The sequence below is a fragment of the Homo sapiens genome, chromosome 16 (assembly GCF_000001405.40).
Source record: "Homo sapiens chromosome 16, GRCh38.p14 Primary Assembly".
In the NCBI taxonomy this organism is placed as follows: Eukaryota; Metazoa; Chordata; class Mammalia; order Primates; family Hominidae; genus Homo; species Homo sapiens.
Window position 1 is genome coordinate 2,341,575 of NC_000016.10, and position 22,381 is coordinate 2,363,955.

Below are 22,381 nucleotides of genomic sequence, written 5' to 3' on the forward strand. Positions count from 1 at the left end.
GGGAGGGTCCGGAGAGGGTCGGGGTCACCTGAGGAGGTGGTCCGGAGAGGGTCGGGGTCACCTCACGGAGCGAGCGGAACGGGGTCACCTGGAGGGAGTGTCCAGGGCGGGGGCCCTGCAGGGAGTCGCCTGCAGGGAGGGTCCCGGGCGTGTCACATTAGGCGGTCCCAGGGACGGGTCGCGGTCTAACGGGACGGGAGTGGGGAGGTGGGTCGGGGTGTCCCTGGGCCGGACCGGGTCGTGGGACTGGGTCGCCCCAGGCAGGAGAGCCTGGGAGGGGCGGGCCCCCTTGGCGTGGCAGGGAGAGGTGGAGTGAGGGACTCCCGGGCTCCAGCATGAGGGCGGGCGCCGCGCGGGGCCGACAGTTGCCGCGGGCCGGGGCCAATGGGTCCCCGAGCGCCGCCAGCGGCCGGACCACAGTGAGGTGCGTCCGTGGTCCCGGCGCCCCGGGTGAGGGAGGGCTGCTGCCGGTCCTGCCGCTGGGAGCCGCCTGCGACCCGCACCGCCAGCCCCGCGCCCAGCCAGCCGCCGGCACCACGACCCGACGGCCCCGACCTAATGCAACGCCCCGGGCCGGGGGCGGAAATCGCCCACCCCCAAGAGTCCTGATGGAGTAGGGTTTGAGCGGCTCGTTCCCCATTTTACTGTGTACATAGCACCTTTCACTCTGATGATGTTCTGGATAGCCCATTCCGCGAGCAAAGGGACTTCGTCAGGTTCATGCCTAGATCCAGGGTCCTAGAGTGCCTGGGGCGGAGGAGGCTCATGCTAAATAATTTGTTCAGTGGAATCACAGAGACCTGGCTTCAGATCTTGACCCACCAATTAATGTAGACATGTCATTTTATCTTTCTGAGTCTCAATTTCCTATCCCTAAAATTGAAATTATAATAATAGTAATTAATAATAATAGCAAACTCAAAGGTTTTTTGTTGGTGTATTCTTTTCTTTTTTGGGTCAAATGAGAAAATGCATGTTTAAGTGCTTACTACAATACCTGACACATAAATGCCAAATAAATGGTAGTATATAATGTGAGTATAGCTAGGGATTTACATAGCCTAGTCTCCGTAATGAGCATACAGGGGGAAAAAAAACCCCAAACAATTGAATGCAGTTACAGGATGGGTGGGGGAGTGGATTATTAATGCGCTGCAAACATCCTAAAAACCCCCTTTCCCCATCAGTCTTCACAGACTGCAACACCCCATCCAAAATGTCTTCCCCATTCTCTGCTTCGTCCCAGAAAATGATGTGAACTTGGCTGCTTGGCCCTGTCTTCACCCGGTCATATCCTCAGTCATTTTTCTTTCCAAAACCAATCCTTGCCATTTCCAAATTGAATTTGTTAGACCTTGCACGTTTTTCCGGCCTTTTCAAAACTGGATCCCAATTCTCTGTAACCAAATCCAGTACCAGAACTGGCTGACTCAGAATTTACCTTAGATGGAAGATAGGGTAGGAATTTTGGAAGAAGGATGACCTTACAGATCAAGACAGACAATTGCAGGGTACTAATTTTATATCTTTTTTCTTAACTCTGCCAGGTTAATTGTTAATTATTATAATCACAATCATGAGGTGGGAGGGTGTGAAGGCCACTGGGAAAAGTATCTTATGCCCAAAAATTTCAGGCTCTGAACTGTTAAAAAACAGTTGCCCACAGTGAGCTGGACCCTTTTGATGCCCTTCAACAATCCCTGGATAATTCATCACATTGTGCTCAAGGCCCACTACTGAAAAAATAAAGCAAACCTAGATGCTCCACCTAGTCATTTCTTTCCAGATGGAGGCCCAGATAAGGTCATAATTTCTTCAGAGTCACCCAGTAGAGCTGAGATGACAACCTCCGTGTTCAGGCTCCTGGACTCTACCCCTCTCTTATATGGAAACACTCACATCCATATACCATGAATACATGCTGAGAAATTGAAGGATACACTCCTTGAAGTTACTATGGTTCAAACATTTCTTTTCTCTCAAGATTGATGGTAAACATTATAGTGGATGGTGACACTCATAAACAAATCTTACAGCTTCACAAAAGGCAGTAAACCTAGCCATTATACTAGTCGGCTAGATATAATTAAACCAATAAGCTCCCAATTCTTTGAAGGGGTACAAATACTATACCCTATCTATCTATCTATCTATCTATCTATCTATCTATCTATCTATCTATCTATCTGTCTATCTATTGTATCGTACAACAGTACCCAAATTGCTGATATTCAATACAGTATCTTAGAATAGGGCTTCTTTGATTGTTTCCCTGGGAATGATGTTATAATTCAGAGACGCATTGTAGACCAAGGGCTGTACACATATTCTTTCATTCAGTGATTGGGAAGCATTATATTGTAATGGTTAAAACTGAACTCTGGCCATATTGCCTCAGATTAAATTCCAGCTCTTAATGTCTTTAGGCAAATTACTGGACCTTTCTGTGCCTTGGTTTCCTAGTATAAAATGAGGATTGTATAACAATTCCTCACAGAATTGTTGTGAGGATTAGATGCATTAAAACATGTAAAGTACAGGACTTAGAAAAGTCCTTGGCATTCGGCAAGGGCTCAATAAGTGATCTAAGCATTATACTGTATGCTTTGGAAACAAACGCATGAACATTTTTTTTTTTTGAGACGGTGTTTCACTCTTGTGGCCCAGGCTGGAGTGCAATGGCGCAATCTCGGCCCACTGCAGCCTCCGCCTCCCGGGGTCAAGCGATTCTCCTGCCTCAGCCTCCCAAGTAGCTGGGATTACAGGCATGCGCTGCCATGCCTGGCTAATTTTGTATTTGTAGTAGAGACGGGGTTTCTTCATGTTGATCGGGCTGGTCTCGAACTCCCGACCTCAGGTGATCCACCACCTCGGCCTCCCAAAGTGCTGGGATTACAGGCATGAGCCACTGCACCCGGCCCAACAAATGAAATTTATGTGTTTTGAAGGATCTCACAAAACAGAGTTGCTTAATTCGATTTAGTTTTCACTGTGTGCTTACTATATGCCAGATGAAACTTGAAATAAAAATGTGAATAAGCCACCATCTATACTTTAATAGAATTCAGAGTGCCCAACAATATGTTGTTAGAAGCAAAGATACAGCAATTGAAGACAATACAGACTATGAGTTGCAAAAATGGGCATTAATACATGGACTATCTCAATTATTCAGGGATTTCCTTTGTACTATTAAGTAGTACAGAAACTATAAGTAAGCTGTTTCCTAACTATATTTGTCTAAACCAAATCACTCGCTTTAAAATAGTTATTTTGCTTAGGTTTTAAACATTTAGAAATTTTGAGGAGATGATTTTTATGGATGATTTGCATGCTCTCAAATTAATTTTAAATTTAACAAGTGTTACATGAATATATTCTTGTTGAGAAATTCAAACTAATAGGCAAACCAAAATTCTTTGTAACCGCCATCCCCTTCCCTGATTTCCTCTCCATGGTCATAGTTTGGTAAATAAGCTTCTTAAAGTTTTTTAAATGTATTTGCACACATATATAGATTAGCCTATACAAGTGTAGCATTATTTATCATTTTTCCATAAATGATATTCTGTGGGCATGATTCTTCAGTTTTCTTTTCAGAAATGAAAATTGGACATTTGACATTTGAACCTCTCTCCTGTGTTTGGAAAACTCTCCATCAATGTGATACAATGGTGGAAAGCGGGGTCTAGGCTCAATGGAACAGGTGCTTTTGCAAATGTATTACAGGTGTTTTCCCCAGGTTGTCTGTCAGCTTTTTACCTTTTTTTCAAAGAAAAGTTGTTTTTTTTTATGTAATCAGATTTATTAGCCTGTTTCTTTATAGTTTCCAGGTTATAGGTCATACTTATTTTTTTAAAAAAGTCCCCACTCTAATAATATAAAAGTGCTTTTATAATGAAATTTTATATGTTTAAACTTTTATCCATCTGGGGCTTATTTTGCTGGAGTGAGCTAGCCAATTTTCTCAACACTTAAAAACATTAATCATTAAAATCTCAGTTTACATATAGTAGAATTCACTCCTTCTCCTAATAATAATATAATTAATTATAATTATAAAAGTGCTTTTATAATGAAATTTTTTATGTTTAAACCTTTATCCATCTGGGGCTTATTTTGCTGGAGTGAGCTAGCCAATTTTCTCAACACTTAAAAACATTAATGATTAAAATCTCAGTTTACATATAGTAGAATTCACTCCTTCTGGTTATAATTCTGTGAATCTTTGTTGTTGTTTGGAGATGGAGTCTCGCTCTGTTGCCCAAGCTGGAGTGCAGTGGCGGGATCTCGGCTCACTGCAACCTTTGCCTCCTGGATTCCAGCGATTCTTGTGCCTCAGCCTCACAAGTAGGTGAGACTTTAGGTGCACGCCACCAGGCCTGGCTAATTTTTTTATTTTTAGTAGGGATGGGTTTTCACCATGTTGACCATGCTGGTCTTGAACTCCTGGCCTTATGTGATCCACCTGTCTCCACCTCCCAAAGTAGTGAGATTACAAGTGTGAGCCATTGTGCCCACCCATAATTCTATGAATTTTGACAAATGTACAGAGTTGTGTAATTACTACCACAACCAAATTCAGACATCATTCCCCCAAATTTCCTCATGATGTCCCTTTTGTAGTTAATTCTTATTACCCTCCTGCTGGTAAGTACTGATTTTAGTTTGCTAGTCCTATTTTTGTCTTTTCCAGAATGTCATATAAATGAAATCATACAGTGTATATAGTCTGAGTCTTACTTCTTTCACTTAATATATTTGAGATTTGTGCATGTCAGGTGTATCAATAGTTCATTCTTATAGCTGAATAGAATTCCACTGAATGAATATACCACAGTTTGTTGATCCATTCATTAATTGAGAACATTTGGTCTATTTCCAGTTTTGGAGATTATGAGTAAAGCCTTCTATAATCATTTGTGTTTAAGTTTTCATTTCTGTTGGGTAAAAATTTATGAATGGGATTGTTGGGTTGTATAGTATATGTTTAGTTTTATGAGAAACTTCCAAAATGTTTTCCGTAATGGTTGTACCACTTTGCATTCCCACTGGCAATAGATAAGTCTTCCAGTTGCTCTGTACCTTCTCCAACACTTAAAATATATATATTTTATTTTTTATTTTTTTTCCCGAGATGGAGTCTTGCTCTTGTCGCCCAGGCTAGAGTGCGATGGCACGATCTCGGCTCACTACAACCTCTGCCTCGCGGGTTCAAGCGATTCTCCTGCCTCAGCCTCCTCAGTAGCTGGGATTATAGGCACGCGCCACCACGCCCTGCTAGTTTTTGTATTTTTAGTAGAGACGGGGTTTCACCATGTTGGCAAGGCTGGTCTCGAACTCCTGACCTCAGGTGATCCGCCCGCCTCGGCCTCCCAAAGTGCTGGGATTACAGGCATGAGCCACGGTGCCTGGCCTAAAAAATATATATATATATTAGCTATTCTTATAAATTTGTAGTAGTATTTCATTGTGGTTTAAATTTGTATTTCCCTAATGATTAATGATGTTGAGCATCTCTCTTCATGGGGTTATTTGTCAGGCATATGTTCTTTTTTTTTTTTTTCTGATGGAGTCTTGCTCTGTCACCCAGGTTGGAGTACAGTGGCATAATCTCAGCTCACTGTAACCTCTGCCTCCCAGGTTCCAGCGATTCTCCTGCCTCAGCCTCCTGAATAGCTGGGATTACAAGTGCGCACCACCACATCCAGCTAATTTTTTTTTTTTTTTTTTGAGATGGAGCCTTGCTCTGTTGCCCAGGCTAGAGTGCAGTGGCGTGATCTCAGCTCACTGCAAACTCTGCCTCCTGGGTTCATGCTATTCTCCTGCCTCAGCCTCCCGAGTAGCTAGGACTACAGGTGCCCACCACCACGCCCGGCTAATTTTGTTTTTGTATTTTTAGTAGAGATGGGGTTTTACCCTGTTAGCCAGGATGGTCTTGATCTCCTGACCTCGTGATCCGCCTGCCTCAGCCTCCCAAAGTGCTGGGATTACAGGCGTGAGCCACCGCGCCCGGCTGATTTTTTTTTTTTTTTTTTTTTGTATTTTTAGTGGAGACAGGGTTTCACAATGTTGGCCAGGCTAGTCTGAAACCTGTGACCGCAGGTGATCCACCTGCCTCGGCCTCCCAAAGTGCTAGGATTACAGGCTTGAGCCACCGTGCCTGGCTCTTTTTGGTGAAGCATCTTCAAATCTTTTGCCCATTAAAAAAACATGGGTGGTTAGTTTTCTTATGGTTGAGTTTTGAAAGTTCTTTATTTTATTTATTTATTTATTTTTATTTTGAGATGGAGTCTCGCTCTGTCGCCAGGCTGGAGTGCAGTGGCACGATCTTGGCTCACTGCAACCTCCATCTCCTGTGTTCGAGTGATTCTCCTGCCTCAGCCTCCTGAGTAACTGGGACTACAGGCATGCGCCACCACACCCAGCTAATTTTTGTATTTTTAGAGAGATGGGGTTTCACTATGTTGGCCAGGATAGTCTTGATCTCTTGACCTTGTGATCCGCCTGCGTTGGCCTCCCAAATGCTGGAATTACAGGTGTGAGCCACCACACCTGGCCTATTTTTTATTCTTTTTTGAGATGGAGTCCTGCTCTGTGGCCCAGGCTGAAGTGCAGTGGTGCTATCTCGGCTCACTGCAACCTCTGCCTCCTGGGTTCAAGCGATTCTCCTGCCTCAGCCTTCTGAGTAGCTGGGATTACAGGCGCACCCCACCACGCCTGGGTAATTTTTGTATTTTTAGTAGAGATAGGGTTTCACCATGTTGGCCAGACTGGTCTCGAACTCCTGACCTCAGGTGATCCACCCACCTCAGCCTCTCAAAATCCTGGGATTACAGGTGTGAGCCACTGTGCCTGGCCTTCTTTATATATTTTGTATACAACTTTGTATACAACAATTCACAGATGTTTTCTACCACTCAGTGGATGGTCTTTCTATTCTATTAAGAGTGTTTTTTTCTTTCTATTCTATTAAGAGTGTTTTGGTTTTGTTTTTGTTTTTGAGGAAGAGTCTTGTCCTTTGCCCAGGCTGTAATGCAGTGACACGATCTCAGCTCACTGCAACCTCTGCCTCCCGGGTTCAAGTGATTCTCCTGCCTCAGCCTCCTCAGTAGCTGGAATTATAGGCATCTGCCACTGTGCCCAACTAATTTTTGTATTTTTAGTAGACACGGGGTTTCACTATGTTGGTCAGGCTGGTCTCTAATTCCTGACCTCATGATCTACCTACCTCGTCTTCCCAAAGTGCTGGGCATGAGCCATCATGCCCGGTCACCATGGTGAGCCACCATGAGCCACCATGGTGAACTCACCACCGTGAGTCACCATGTCTGGCCTATTAAGACTGTCTTTTAGAGAATAAAGACTTCCAGTAAGTGTTTCTTTTTCTTTTTCTTTTTTTTTTTTTTTTTTTGAGACAGAGTCTTGCTCTGTCATCCAGGCTGGAGTGCAGTGATACAGTCTCAGCTCACTTCAACCTCCATCTCCCAGGATCAAGTGACTCTCCTGCCTCAGCCTCCCAAGTTGCTGGGAATACAGGCGTCCACCACTACGCCTGGCTAATTTTTGTATTTTTAGTAGAGACCCTACTGGTCTGAAACTCCTGTCCTCAAGTGATCCACTTGCTTCAGCCTCCCAAAGTGCTGGGATTACAAGTGTGAGCCACTACATCTGGCCGAGAACAAAGGTTTTTAATTTTGATGAAGTCCAATTTACTATGGTTTTGGTGTCATATCTAAGAAATCTTTGCCTACTGTGAGGTCACAGAGATGTTCTCCTGTGTTTTCTTCTAGAAGTTTTACGGTTTAGATTTTGTATTTAAGTCTATGATTTATTTTGAATTAATTTTGTGTAATGAGTTGAGGTATGGGTCAAAATTTTATTTCCATACATGGATGTCCCTTGTTCCAGCACGTTTGTTAAAAAGACTATTCTTTTTCCATTGAATTGCAACTTTGTCAAAAATTAATTGACCATATATGTCAGTTTATTTCTGGACTCCCTATTCTGTTCTATTGAGCTGTATGTCTTCTGTAAAGGGCCAGATAGCAAATTTTTTAGGTTTTGCATGCCAATAGGCAAAATTCAATAAATTACTTATATAAAGAGACAAAGCAAGTTTCCACAAAATTTTTTATTAATGAAATTCAGTATGATAATTGAATATAATTTTAAAAATAATATGGACCTAGTAATGGGAATGAGATTTTTTTAAAATTAATTAATTATTATTATTTTTTTTTGAGAAGGAGTCTCGCTCTGTTGCCCAGGCTGGAGTGCAGTGGCGCAGTCTCGGCTCACTGCAAGCTCCACCTCCCGGGTTCATGCCATTCTCCCACCTCCATGCCATTCTCCCACCTCAGCCTCCCGAGTAGCTGGGACTACAGGTGCCTGCCACCACACCTGGCTAATTTTTTGTATTTTTAGTACAGACGGGGTTTCACCGTGTTAGCCAGGATGGTCTGGATCTCCTGACCTCGTGATCCTCCTGCCTCAGGCTCCCAAAGTGCTGGGATTACAGGTGTGAGCCACAGTGCCTGGCCAAAAACATTTAATATTTTAAAAAAACTTTTACCAGCGTTGTTTCGTCAGCATTTGGATTCTGCACATATTTTATTAAATTTATACCAAAGTATTTCCTTCTTTCAATGTTACTACAAATGACACTTAAAAATTTCCACTTGTTCTTTATTGTTACATAGAAATATGATTTATTTTTATTTTTTAAAATAATTAAAATTTTTAAAGAGATGGGATCTTGCTTGTTGCCCAGTCTGGTCTTGAACTCCTGGCCTCAAATGATCTTCCTGCCTTCTCCTCCCAAAGTGTTGGTATCACAGACGTGAGCCACTGTACCCAGCCAATTTATTTTTATATACTGATCTTGTCTCTCGTGACCTTGCTAAACTCGTTCATTAATTGTAGAATACTTTGTTTTGAATTTTTTGGGATTTTCTACATAGAAAGTCATGTTATCTGAGAATAGAGATGCTTTTATTTCTTTTCAATCTGTTATGTCTCTTTTCTTTTTAATTGCCTATAGTATTCAGTACAATGTATGTCTCTTATTTCCTGCTTTATTGCACTGGCTAGGATGATGTTGAATAGCAGTGAGAGTAGTCATCCTTGGCTTGTTCTCTAATCTTAGGGGGAAAGCACTGAGTCTTTGACCATTAAGTATCATGTTAACTGTAGGTTTTTGTAGCTGCTATTTATCGGGTTGAAGAAATTTTCATTTTCTTCTATTTCTAGTTTGCTGGGAGATTTTACCATGAATGAATGTTGACTTTTGTCAGATGTACTTATCTGCATCCACTGAGATGATTAAGTGGTTTATTCTTAAGCCTCTTAATATTATGAGTTGCATTGTGTTTTTTATGCTATGTCTTTTCGTGATGTTTTTATCTGGCTTTGGATCACAGTAATGTTGACCTCATAAAATGAGTTGGAAAGTTGTCCCTCTTCTATTTTCTGGGAAAGATTGTACAGAATTAGTGTTATTCCTTCTTTAAGTGTTAGAATTTGCCAGTGAAACCATCTGGATTTTGTTTTTTTGGAAGGATTATAGCTACAGATACAAATTCTTTAATAGATATTAGGACTATTCAGGTTACTTACTTCTTGAGTGAATTTAGGTAGTTTATGTCTTTCATGGAATTGATCTGTTTCATCTAGTTGTTAAACAAATAGGTATTAATACTGTTTTAATATTTATGTGATTTATTTGAAAGGCTATGTTTATAATACACTAAATTTCCATATATATATGGTTCTCTATATAAGTTGTTTTTGGGGGCTGTTACTATACTAGTATGATGTTCTTTTCATTAATGAAGTTATTTAACAACATGTTTTAATATTTGGATCATCTCTGGTCAATAGCTGTCTCAGAATTTTCTTGGCTAGTCTCACAGCTTTATCTTTCATGTGAACTTCAGAATCAAATTTCTTAATCTCATTAAAATTTTTATTGGGTTACAGAACATTTGTAGATGTACTTAGAAAAATTAATATCTTAAAAATATTGACTATTTCTGTGCAAGGATGGGATATGTTGCTCCATTTACTCAAGCTTTTTATTTATTCTTTTTAGAGACAGGGTCTCGCTATGTTGCCCAGGATGGTCATGAACTCCTGGGCTCAGGCAATCCTCCCTCCTGAATAACTGTGACCAGCACCGAGTCACTGAGCCTGGCTTATTCAAGCCTTAATTTTATGTTTATTGATATAGTTTTACAGTTTCCATCCCAGAGATCTTGCATATTTCTCACTATATTTATTCCTAAATGTTTTCTTCTGCTGTTGCTGTTGTGAAAGGGATCTTTTCCTGAAATACATTGTCCTACCTGGTTTTTGATAGGAAAACTATTGATTTTTTTATATACTACTTTTGTAACTGGCTATCTTACCTTACCTTTTACTGTTTCTTATAGTTATTCAGTTGTTCTCTTGGGTTTTCTATGTATACCACTTAATAACATGCAAACAATCATAATCTAGTTCCCTCTTTACCTATATTTATGCCTCTTGATTCATCTTATCATTTAACTGTAGGAGTATAGGGCCACCAGGAGCTTATATAGGGTACCGTGCCTGGTGAGGAATTGCCAAGAGGTGATCCCTGCCTCCCCACCTATTAGATAAAGGCAGCTCTTCTGAGTGGACCAATTAGTTAAAGGCACCCAACTGCACAAACCAATTAGATAAAGGTACCCCTGAGTGGAACTTTCAGCCAGCAGATCCATCCTTAGGCCAGGTGGAGTGGAGCATAGAGTGGATCTCAGCCCTGCTTCTCATCCTCTGAGCCAGATGTCCTGGTATAGGGAACAGGCCTCATAACTGGACACAATGGCTCTGGGTTACTGTTTCCAGAATAATGCTAGAAAATAATGTTGCCACTGGCATTTTAATCTTGGTTTTGTCTTAATTGTGAATGCTTCTGTGGTCACCAGAAAATATCTTTGCTTTTGATTTGAGAAATGTGTTTTTAACACATTATAGATGATTTTGTTTCTAAGGATTTTTTTAAAAAGTATCAAAGAATAGATGGAAAATTTTATCAAATGCCTTGGGAATTTATTGACATTATGTTTTTATTCCTTTGAGCAATTGATATAATGAATTAAACTAATAGAAATCATAATGGTGAAAATAGTGAATCATTCCTATATTTCTGGAATAAATTTTCCATTTGTTCATGGTATATTATTCTTTTAATGCATTTCTAGATTCTATGTGCTAGCAAGGATTTTTACATCTTCTCTTTACTAAGAATGGGCTTTAGTTTTTTTTAAAAAAAATGTTGTCATTGTCAGATTTTCATATCATCATTAGTTAACCTGATTTTTTTTAGTGGAAGTTTACCCTCTCTCTGCTTATGGATTAGTTTAAATAGCATTAGAATGACCTATTGCTTGTAGTTAAAAATAACTTACCCATTTGAGTTTTTGCACTTACACTGCTTGGAGGACTCTGACAAATTTCTCAATTTCTTGAACAGTTTATGTGAATAAATATTTAGGTTTTAAAAAAAATCTCTTACTGGATTATAGTAGTTACTTCTATTTTCCTAATCAACCCATCCCAGACAGATTGACAAATTTTTTAGCATAGTGTTACAAAAAATATTTAATTTTCTGTACAACATTGGGTATTTTTTCCTTTTCATTCTTCATTAATATGTCTGACAGTGTGTTTGTTCCTTTTTTTGTATTGACTGGATATGCTAGTGGATTACTTATTTTAGGAGTTTAATTTCCCTGTCAATCCTTCTTTTTTCTTTCTTTCGTTCTTTTTTTTTTTTTTTTTTTTTTTGAGACAGGTTTTCTGTCGGTCATCCAGGCTAGAGTGCAGTGGTACAATCATTGCTCACTGCAGCCTCGAAGTCCTGGGCTCAAGCAATCCTCCTGCCTCAGCCTCCTAAGCAACTAGGACTATAGTATGCCTGTCTAATTTTGGTTTGTGGTTTTGGGTTTTTATTTTTTTTGGTAGAGATGGGAGTCTTGCTATGTTGCCCAGGCTGGTCTTAAACTCCCAGGCTCAAGAGATCCTCCTGGCTTGGCCTCCTAAAGTGCTGGGATTACAGGCTTGAGCCACCCTGCCCAGCAAGCACTGATTCTTTTTTTCTGAGACAGAGTCTCACTGTATTGCCGAGGCTAGAGTGCAGTGGCACAATCTCAGCTCATGTCAACTTCTGCCTCCCAGGCTCAAGTGATTCTTGTGCCTCAGCCTCCTGAGTAGCTGGGATTACAGGTATGCACCACCATGCCCAGCTAATTTTTGTATTTTATTTATTTATTTGAGATGGAGTCTCACTCTCATTGCCCAGGCTAGAATGCAATGGTACGATCTCGGCACACTGCAACCTCTGCCTGCCATGTTCAAGCGATTCTCCCACTTCAGCCTCCAAAGTAGCTGGCTTTACAGGTGCCTGCCATCACGCCCATCTAATTTTTATATTTTTAGTAGAGATGGGGTTTCAACGTGTTGGCCAGGCTCGTCTCAAACTCCTGACCTCAGGTGATCTGCCCACCTTGGCCTCCCAAAGTGCTGGGATTACAGGCGTGAGCCTCCGCTCCTAGCCCTGATATATATATATATATAGTTTTGCTTGCCTTTTCTGGAATGTTAAATAGTTAGAATTATATAGTATGTCGCCTTTTTACATTGGCTTCTTTCACTTAGTAATATGCATTTAGAGTTCCTCCATGTCTCTTCATGATTTAATAGCTCATTTCTTTTTGTTTTTGTTTTTGTTTTGAGGTGGAGTTTCATTCTTATTGCCCAGGCTGGAGTACAATGGCGTGATCTTGGCTCACTGCAACCTCTACCTCCCAGGTTTAAGTGATTCTCCTGCCTCAGCCTCCTGAGTAGCTGGGATTACAGGCGCCCACCACCATGCCCAGATAATTTTTTGTATTTTTAGTAGAGACAGGGTTTTGCCATATTGGCCAGACTGGTCTCGAACTCCTGACCTCAGGTGATCCGCCCACCTCAGCCTCCCAGAGTGCTGGGATTACAGGCGTGAGCCACTGCGCCTGGCCCAGCTCATTTCTTTTTAATGCTCAATAATATTTCATTGTCTGGATGTACCACAATTTATTTATCCATCCACTTATAGAAGGACATTTTGGTTGCTTACAAGTTTTGGCAATTATGAGTAAAGTACTATAGACATCCATGTGCAGGTTTTTGTGTGAACATAGGTTTTCAACTCGTTTGATAAATACCAAGGAGCATAACTGCAGGATCACGTGGTAAGGGGTTATTTACTCTTGTGAGAAACCGCTTGTCTTCCTAAGTGGCTGTACCACTTTGCATTTCCACCATCAATGAACAATAGCTCCTGTTGCTCCACACCCTTGGCATATCCATTGATTTGGATGTTTTTATAGGTGTGTATTAGTCTGTTTGCACTGCTGTAAAGGAATACCTGAGACTCTGTAATTCATGAGAAAGGTTTAATTGGTTTATGGTTCTGCAGGCTGTACAGGAAGCATGTTGCCATCAGCTTCTGGGGAGGCCTCAGGAAACTTATAATCATAGCCTAAGACAAAGTGAGTTCCACCACTTCCCTGGCTGGAGCAGGAGGAAGAGAGTGGGGGAAATGCTACACACTTCTACCATGAGAACAGCACTAGGGGGATGGCACTATACCATTCATGAGAAACCATCCCCATGATCCAATCACCTCCCACCAGGTGCCACCACCAACATTGGGGATTACAAATTCAACATCAGATTTGGGAAGGGACACAAATTCAAAACATATCAAGGTGTGTAATGGTATCTCATTGTTTTAATTTGCAATTCCCTAATGATGTATAAGGTTGAGCATCTTTTCATATGCTTATTTGCCATGTGTATATTTCTTTTTTTTTTTGTTTGAGACGGAATCTCTGTCGCCCAGGCTGGAGTGCAGTGGCCCAATCTCAGCTCACTGCAAGCTCCGCCTCCCGGGTCCACGCCATTCTTCTGCCTCAGCCACCCAAGTAGCTGGGACTACAGGTGCCCGCCACCACGCCTGGCTAATTTTTTGTATTTTTAGTAGAGACAGGGTTTCACCGTGTTAGCCAGGATGGTCTCGATCTCCTGACCTCATGATCCGCCCACCTCGGCCTCCCAAAGTGCTGGGATTACAGGCTTGCCATGTGTATATTTCTTTAGTGAAGTAACTGTTTAGGTTTTTTGCCCATTTTTAAATCAGGTTGTTTGTTTTCTTATTGTTAACAGTTCTTTGTATATTTCAGATAATAGTACTTTATCAGATATGTCTTTTACAAATATTTTCTCTCAGTCTATGGCTTGTCTTCTCATTTTCTTGATTGATAGAATATTTTGCAGTTTAGGAGAGAGTTTTTCATTTAAAAAAAGTGCTTTTTTGGTTTTGGTGTTTTTATTTTATTATTAATACTTTTAGTGTAGTGTGATCTAGAAATGTGGTCAGTATCATTCAACCTCTTACAATTTGAAATTTTCTTTATGGCCTATACATACTCTGTTTTCATGAATAGTGCATGGGTGTGCATAAGCTTGTTTTTTAAAAAAAATTTTAGAGACAGGGTCTTGCTCTGTCACCCAGACTGGAGTACATTGGCATGATCATAGCTCACTGCAGCCTTGAACTCCTGGGCTTAAGTGGTCCTTCTGCCTCAGCTTCTCGAGTAGCTGGGACTGCAGGTGCGTACCTCCATACTTGGCTAATTAAAAAAAATTTGAGTGATGAACATCTCACTATGTTTCCCAGGCAGGTCTTGAACTCCTGGCCTCATGTGATCCTCTTGTCTTAACCTGTGAGTCACTGGGATTATAGGCATGAGCCACTGTATCTGGCTCTATTTTTTAAATCATATGGGAAACAGAGGTGTTACATACCAAAAGTACAATAATACTAGTTGTTTTTTTTGTTTGTTTGTTTTTGAGATGGACTTTTGCTCTTGGTTGCCCAGGTTGGAGTGCAGTGGCGCAATCTTGGCTTACTACAACCTCTGCCTCCCAGGTTCGAGTGATTCTGCAGCCTCAGCCTCCCGAGTAGCTGGGATTACAGGCGTGTGCCACCATGCCTGGCTAAATTTTGTATTTTTAGTAGAGACGGGGTTTCACCATGTTGGCCAGGCTGGTCTTGAACTCCTGACTTCAGGTGATCCACCTGCCTTGGCCTCCCAAAGTGCTGGGATTACAGGCGTGAGTCACCGCACCTGGCCAATGCTAGTTTTTATAGTTACCTAAAAAGTTACCTTTACTGATAATTATTTATTCATATGGCTTCAAATTACATCTAGCATTTTTTTGTTTCAGCCTGAGGGACTTCCTTTGGCATGCTTCTTCGGGCAGGTCTACTAGAGACAAATTTCTTTAGCTCTTATTTACCTAAAAAATGTCTTAATTTCTCCTTCATTTTTGAAAGATAGTTTCGCTGGGTATAGATTCTTGACAGTTTTTTTTTTTTAAGCGTTTTATATATATCATCCCACTGCTTTTTTGCCTCCCTGTTTTCTGATGAGAAATTAGCTGTTAATCTTACTGAAGATCCCTTGTACAAGTTTCTTCTGTCCTACTGCTTTCAAGATTCTCTCCTTGGGCTGGGAATGGTGGCTCACACCTGTAATCCCAACACTTTGGGCAACAGAGGTGGGAGGATCGCTTGAGGCCAGGAGTTAAAGACCAGCCTGGGCAACCAAGCAGACCCAATCTCTACAAAAAATAAAAAAGTTAGCTGGGCGTAGTGGCATATGCCTACATGCCTATAATCCCAGCTACTTGGGAGGGTGAGGAAGGAGGCTCACTAGAGCCTGGCTGGTCAAGGCTGCAATGAACGATGATCATGCCACAGAGCCAGACCCTGTCTCAAAAAAAAAAAAAATTCTCTCCTTATCGTTAGCATTCGACGGTTTCATTATAATAACTCTCTTTGTGGGTTTTTTAAGTTTCTTGTACTTGGAGTTTGTTGAGCTTCTTGGATCTGTAGATTCATGTATTGATCACATTTGAGAAGTTGTTATTTCATTATTTCTTCAAACATGTTTTTATCTCTTTCTTCTCCTGGAACTTTCACAATGTGTATTTGGTACACTTGATGGTGTCCCATAGGTCCCTTAGGGTCTGTTCATTTTTCTTCATTTTTTTTTTCCTGCTCCTTAGACTTGGTAATTTTAACTGCCCTATCTTCAGGTTTGCCGATTCTGTCTTCTGCTTGCTCAAATCTTTGAATTCTTCTAGTGAATTATTTTGTTTCAGCTTTTATGCTTTTCAGCTCCAGAATTTCTATTTGGTTTCTTTAAAATTTTTCTGTTTATTGAAATTTTCTGCTTGTACACACTTCATTCTTCAGATTTCCTTTAGTTCTTTGTCCATCATCTTCAGCTCTGAGAATATTTAAGACAGTCCATTTAGAAGTTTTGCCTAGTAAGTCCTATGTCTGGGCTTCCTCAGGAATGGTTTGTGTCAGCTTCCTTTTTTGCTGTGAATGGGTCATACTTTCCTATGTCTTTGTATGGTTTGTAATTTTTTACTGAGAGCTATACATTTTGAATACTGTAGTTGGTAGCTCTGGAAATCAGATTCTCATCTCTCCTCAGAAATTGCTGTTGATACTTGTTGAAAACTGCAGTTGTCCATTTGTTTAGTGACTTTGCTAAAGACACTATATTTCTTGTTATGTGTGAGTACTGAAAGTCTCTGTTTCATTATCTCTGCGTTCAGCCAGTGACTTGACAGATTTTTTTTTTTTTTTTTGAGACGGAGTTTCGCCCTTGTTGCCCAGGCTGGAGTGCAATAGCGTGTCTCAGCTCACTGCAACCTCCCCATCCTGGGTTCAAGCGATTCTCCTGCCTCAGCCTCCCAAGTAGCTGAGATTTATAGGCATGCACCACCACACCCAGCTAATTTTTGTATTTTTAGTAGAGATGGGGTTTCTCCATGTTAGTCAGGCTGGTCTCAAACTCCCGACCTCAGGTAATCCACCTGCCTCAGCCTCCCAAAGTGCTGGGATTATAGGCGTGAGCCACTGCGCCTGGCCTTTTTTTTTAATTTTTTTTTTTGATGGAGTTTCACTCTTGTTGCCAAGGTTGGAGTGCAATGGTGCGATCTCGGCTCACTGCAACCTTCGCCTCCCAGGTTCAAGTGATTCTCCTGCCTCAACATCCTGAGTAGCTGGGATTACAGGCATGTGCCACCATGCCCAGCTAATTTTTTTTTTTTTTTTTAGTAGAGATGGGGTTTTGCCATGTTGGCCAGGCTGGTGTTGAACTCCTGACCCCAGGTGATCCACCCTCTTCAGCCTCCCAAAATGCTGAGATTACAGGTGTGAGCCACCGCGCCTGGCCTGCATTCACTATTGAAGATGCTGCTTCTAAAATTCTTATATTCAGGAGAAGGAAACACTGTCTCTGTATTTAAGGAAGTAGCATTACAGGAAGTACAGTAAGAGACAAGAGACACAACACATCCAAGAAGGAGGACTTTCCAGGAACAATAGTCATATTTTCTCCATTCTCCGTATTTATATGAGTCTTGTTTCTTTAATTTCTTTTGTGCAAAGTTAGAGATGCTTTCACCTGAGAAAAAATATATTCCCCTTTCTTTCCCCACTGGAAAAATGTTTTCTGTAAATGAAAATCTCATTTTTGTTATAATAATAGTATCTAAAAAATTAAAGCATGTATTACACTTGGGAAACAAAAAGATTGAGAAGAGAAGGAACTTTCTGCTATCCGAGGTATTTTTCTTTCTCGCAGTCATTTTTGCTTCAGTCACATGCCTACAAAGACTGCATACCTTTTAATTCATTCATTCATTCATCAAATATTTACTGAGTTCCTACCATGTGCCGCCTCTGTTCTTGTGTCTTGGGATTCAGTGTTGGAAAAAAAAATCAGAACAAACAATTCCTGCTTTCACAGAACATAAATTTGAGTAGGGATGTCAGATTAAATAAGCAAATAAATAGCATGTAAATCATTTAAAAGTGCTAAGAAGAAAAATAAACATGGAAAGTTGATATGACATCTATAGGGATGTTGAAATTTTATATAGAATGATCAAAAAGACCTCACTGAGAAAGTGACATTTGAGGAAATATCTGAAAGTAGTAGGGGAGCTAGAAGTGTTGATACACGAGGGAAGTGTGTACTTGACAGAGGGATATGAGTTTTGAGGCAAAAGTGTGTTTGGTGTGTTTTAGGAGGAGCAGCTATGCCTGTGACACAGGAGCAGGGAGAAGGAGAGAAGTAAACTAGGAGACAGAATGACATGAGAAAGTGAACAGGAACTATACCATGTACAACTGTGTAGTTCATTGTAAGGCAAGGCTTTTGCTTGGAGTGAGATAAGAGCCAGTAGAGAGTTTTGAACAGAGGAGGAAGCGTAATCTGACTCAAAGAGGGTCGCTCTTATTGCTGCATGGACAATGGATTGCAAAGTGGCAAGGGCAGATGTACTGATACCACCAAAGAAGGTATTGCAGAAATCCCGGCAAGGGACGATAAGAATAGGGGTGGTGAAAGGGATTGAATTCTAGGTCTATTTCAGGGGTAGAGCCAACAGGATTTGCTGACTAACTGGATTTGAGCTGTGAAAGAGAGAGAAGTCAACAATAATCCTGTATAGAATTAAATACTGTTGATATTTTGGTATTTAACCTTCCAGTTTTTTATATACATGTTCATAATTTTATATATTTTTAATTAAAATTGAAGTCATCCTCTACCTACTGCTTGTAACCAGTTCATTTTGTAACATGTTGCTTTCCTGTGTCATTAAAAAAGAATAAGCCCAGGCCAGGTGACTCACGCCTCTAATCCCAGCACTTTGGGAGGCCAAGGTGGGCAGATCACTTGAGGCCAGGAGTTTGAGATCAGCCTGGCCAACATGGTAAAACCCCATCTCTACCAAAAAATACAAAACTTAGCCAGGCATGGTGGTGGGCACCTGTAATCCCAGCTACTTGGAGGCTGAGGCAGGAGAATCGCTTGAACCTAGGAAGCGGAGGTTGCAGTGAGCCAAGATCGCATCACTGCGCTCCAGCCTGGGTGACAGAGCAAGACTCCGTCTAAAAAAAAAAAAAAAAAAGAAAGATAATAATCCTATATAACTCAAAGAATGGAACTGACGTTAACAGTGAAGAAGACTGTAGGACAATCTTTTAACAGGAATAAGAAAGCTCAGTTTGGGCATGTCAACTTAGATGAAACACATGGAAGTATTAAGCCGGCAGTTGGGTATCTGGATTTAGAGTCAGAGGCAAGGTCTAGGCTGGAGATACAAATTTAGAAGTCACCAGCATATAGATGGATTCAAATCTAAGAGCTGAGTGAGATCACCTAAGGAGAGCACAGACTGAGCCCTGGAGTGCATTTAGAGGTTGGGAAGAGGAGGAAGTATCAGCAAAAAGACTTAGAAGGAATTCCTAGAATGATAGGAGGAAAAGTAGTCCATCACAATGATCTGGAAGCCCCAAAGAAGAAAGTTTTCAAGGACGAAAAAGTAACTCTTAACACTTTTGTGCTATGCATAACATTTTCCCTCATTTGTTTCCTGACTAGTGATGAGCCCTCCTCTTCAGCTAGGAAAATGACGGTGTTCAGAAAGTTAAAACTTCTTCGCTGGAAGGATTTCATCTTAAAGTTGGTATGGTTATCTGTGGGAAGATATAAGTCCTTGGGGGGGATTGAATGTTTAAGTTAAATTGGTTCATAATAACGGGTTAAAGAACAATTAAGAACTTTACATGGAAAGGGGCCCTTTTCTGCAAATGAGTCATGTAATTATTAAAGATGACATCATTGTTACTGATTTCTGGCCATTGGAGTTACAGAAAGGCTAAAAGGAGATGTTTCAAGCTAATTCTTACTCTGTGTTTTTCTTTTTCGTGTGTTTTGCAGGGAGACTGGAAGAAATTAAAGTGTTCTAAATGGAAGAGCATTCACCACATGTGTTCTGTTTTGGGTTGACATTTAGCTTTTGTTTTTATTTTAGAAACGGAAGACTCTGGTAGCAGTCCTTGAAATCTTGATGCCATTGCTATTTTCTGCATTGTATTGTATCTTCGTTTTAGTAGTGCTCCAATAAAAAGACCTGCTACTAGCTGCCATGCAATTGATATCAGTTTGTTGCCAGACTTCTACAATTTTCCTGAAAAATAGATTTCAACTAGTTTATATCCCTTCTATAAGTGAAACATTGAAGGCTGTCACCGAAATGGTGGAACAGATCTTTGATGTTGAGTTTGAAGGTTAGATGTAAATATGGGTAAGGATCGGGAGGACATTTTTATAAAGTACAGTTTGAAGTTTTTCCCCGAGAGTTCTTACAGTAGTGATTCTAAATCTAGTGTCTCCAAATTCTAAAGAGCCTATGAGGTGGTAGTTGGGGGGAAGCTGTCCATGAGATATTTTTATTATTTCAAACAACATATGGAGTCTTGTCTATATATGTCAGAAGGCTTCAAGGCTAATTAAAATGTTAAATGTTAAGTATTTGTTTTTAACTCACTATCATGACACCTATTATCTCATATTAATCCAAAGGTCTGATTGGCAATTATATGTCTCTAATAAAAAATGGAAGGCATTCAGAGAGTCAGAGGGTCTGAAATAGCTTCTAACTTGTTAACTGGTCTCTGCTTCTCCTCTTGTCCCATTCTAATCCAGTCTCCGTGTGGAGGCAGAAAGATCTTCAAAAGCTCAATAGGATCCAGCTAGTCTCTAGCTTAAACCCCTTCAGTGGCTTCCCATTGCCCTGAAAGAAAACCAGCTCTTCTCCAGGTTCTGACCCTGCTTTTTTCCCAGTCTTATCTAGTTTGGCTCTTTATTGTGCTCCCACACACTGGTCATGTTGGTCTTTTACTTCCTAGAAAGCAGCTACATGAGGTTTTCTCCCAATAGGGCCTTTGCAGCAGGTGTTCCTTCTGACAGTGCTTTGCCCTCAGCCTTCCCTGTGCATTGCTCCCTCTTAGTCTTCACGTTTCAGCTGAACTGATGCCTAGGAAAGCAGCTAAATCGGTTTTAGGTTTCTCACCTCTGCCTTATTCTCTGTCACAGAACCCTGTTTTATACTTTCTATCAAAAAGGGAATTTTAATAAATGTTTACATATATATTCACTTTCTTGCTTCTGTGTATTGTCTGCCTTTCTCCACTAGACTCCACCTCCATGAGGGCATAGGAACCATGTCTGTTTTGTTCATCACTGTGCCTGTTGTAGTACCTAGCACATAGTAGGTGCTCAATAAATATTTATTGAATAAATTAATGTAGTTAGGTAGATAGCATTCTTCAAAATATGTAGTTTATAGGAGAAATTTTTCAAAATTACTATAATTGCTCTACATGCTATTGTAAAAGTATTCTAATAATATATAGGGCATAAAGTGAATAGAGATTTTTCCCTCCAAGCTTCAGTGCCACTCAATGGGGATAATAATTTTTTTTTTCTTTTCCTTTTTTTTTTTTTTTGAGATGGACTTTCGCTCTTGTTGCCCAGGCTGGAGTGCAATGGTGAGATCTAGGCTCACTGCAACCTCCGTCTCCCGGGTTCAAGCAATTCTCCTGCCTCAGCCTCCTGAGTAGCTGGGATTACAGGCACCCGCCACCACGCCTGGCTAAGTTTTCTATTTTTAGTACAGATGGGGTTTCACCTTATTGGCCAGGCTGGTCTCAAACTCCTGACCTCAGGTCATCCGCCCGTCTTGGCCTCCCAAAGTGCTGGGATTACAGGCATGAGCCACTGCACCCAGCCTGAGTGAGGATAATTCTTTTAAAAGCTTTCAGTTCCAGGAGTTTGAGACCAGCTTGGGCAACATAGTGAAACCCTGTCTCTACAAAAAATAAAAAATTAACCAGGTATGGTAGTTGATGCTTGTAGACCCAGCTACTTGGGATGCTGAGGTGGGAGGATCTCTTGAACCTACAGTGAGCTATGATTGCACCACTGCACTCCAGCTTGGGTAACAGAACGAGACCCTGTCTCTAAAAAAATAAAAAATAAAAATGCCCTCAGTGGTAAAATGTGGGGAAATCACTGTTTTGAAAGTTGTGCTTCAGCCGGGTGCAGTAGCTCATGTCTGTAATCCCAGCACTTTGGGAGGCCGAGGTGGGCGGGTCACTTGAGGTCAAGAGTTTGTGACCAGCCTGGCCAGCATGGTGAAATTTCATCTCTACTAAAAATACAAAAAAATTAGCCGGGCGTGGTGGCACATACCTGTAGTCCCAGCTCCCTGGGAGGCTGAGGCAGGAGAGTGGCTTGAACCCAGGACGTGGAGATTGCAGTGAGCCGAGATCGTGCCATTGCACTTCAGCCTGGGCGACAGGCCAAGACTCCATCTCAAAAAAAAAAAAGAAAAGAAAGTTGTGCTTCATGCTTGTCTGGTATCCTAAAATACTATG

General features: G+C 40.9%; 1 pseudogene across 1 annotated transcript in view; it reads left to right on the plus strand.

Annotated features, from left to right (window-relative positions):
• The window catches only part of ABCA17P (ATP binding cassette subfamily A member 17, pseudogene), an 85,778-nt pseudogene that overhangs the window by 653 nt on the left and 62,744 nt on the right, over positions 1–22,381 (plus strand). Inside the window, exon 2 of the transcript NR_003574.1 lies at positions 19,542–19,626. The product of NR_003574.1 is annotated as an ATP binding cassette subfamily A member 17, pseudogene (transcript). The remainder of the gene's footprint in view (positions 1–19,541; positions 19,627–22,381) is intronic.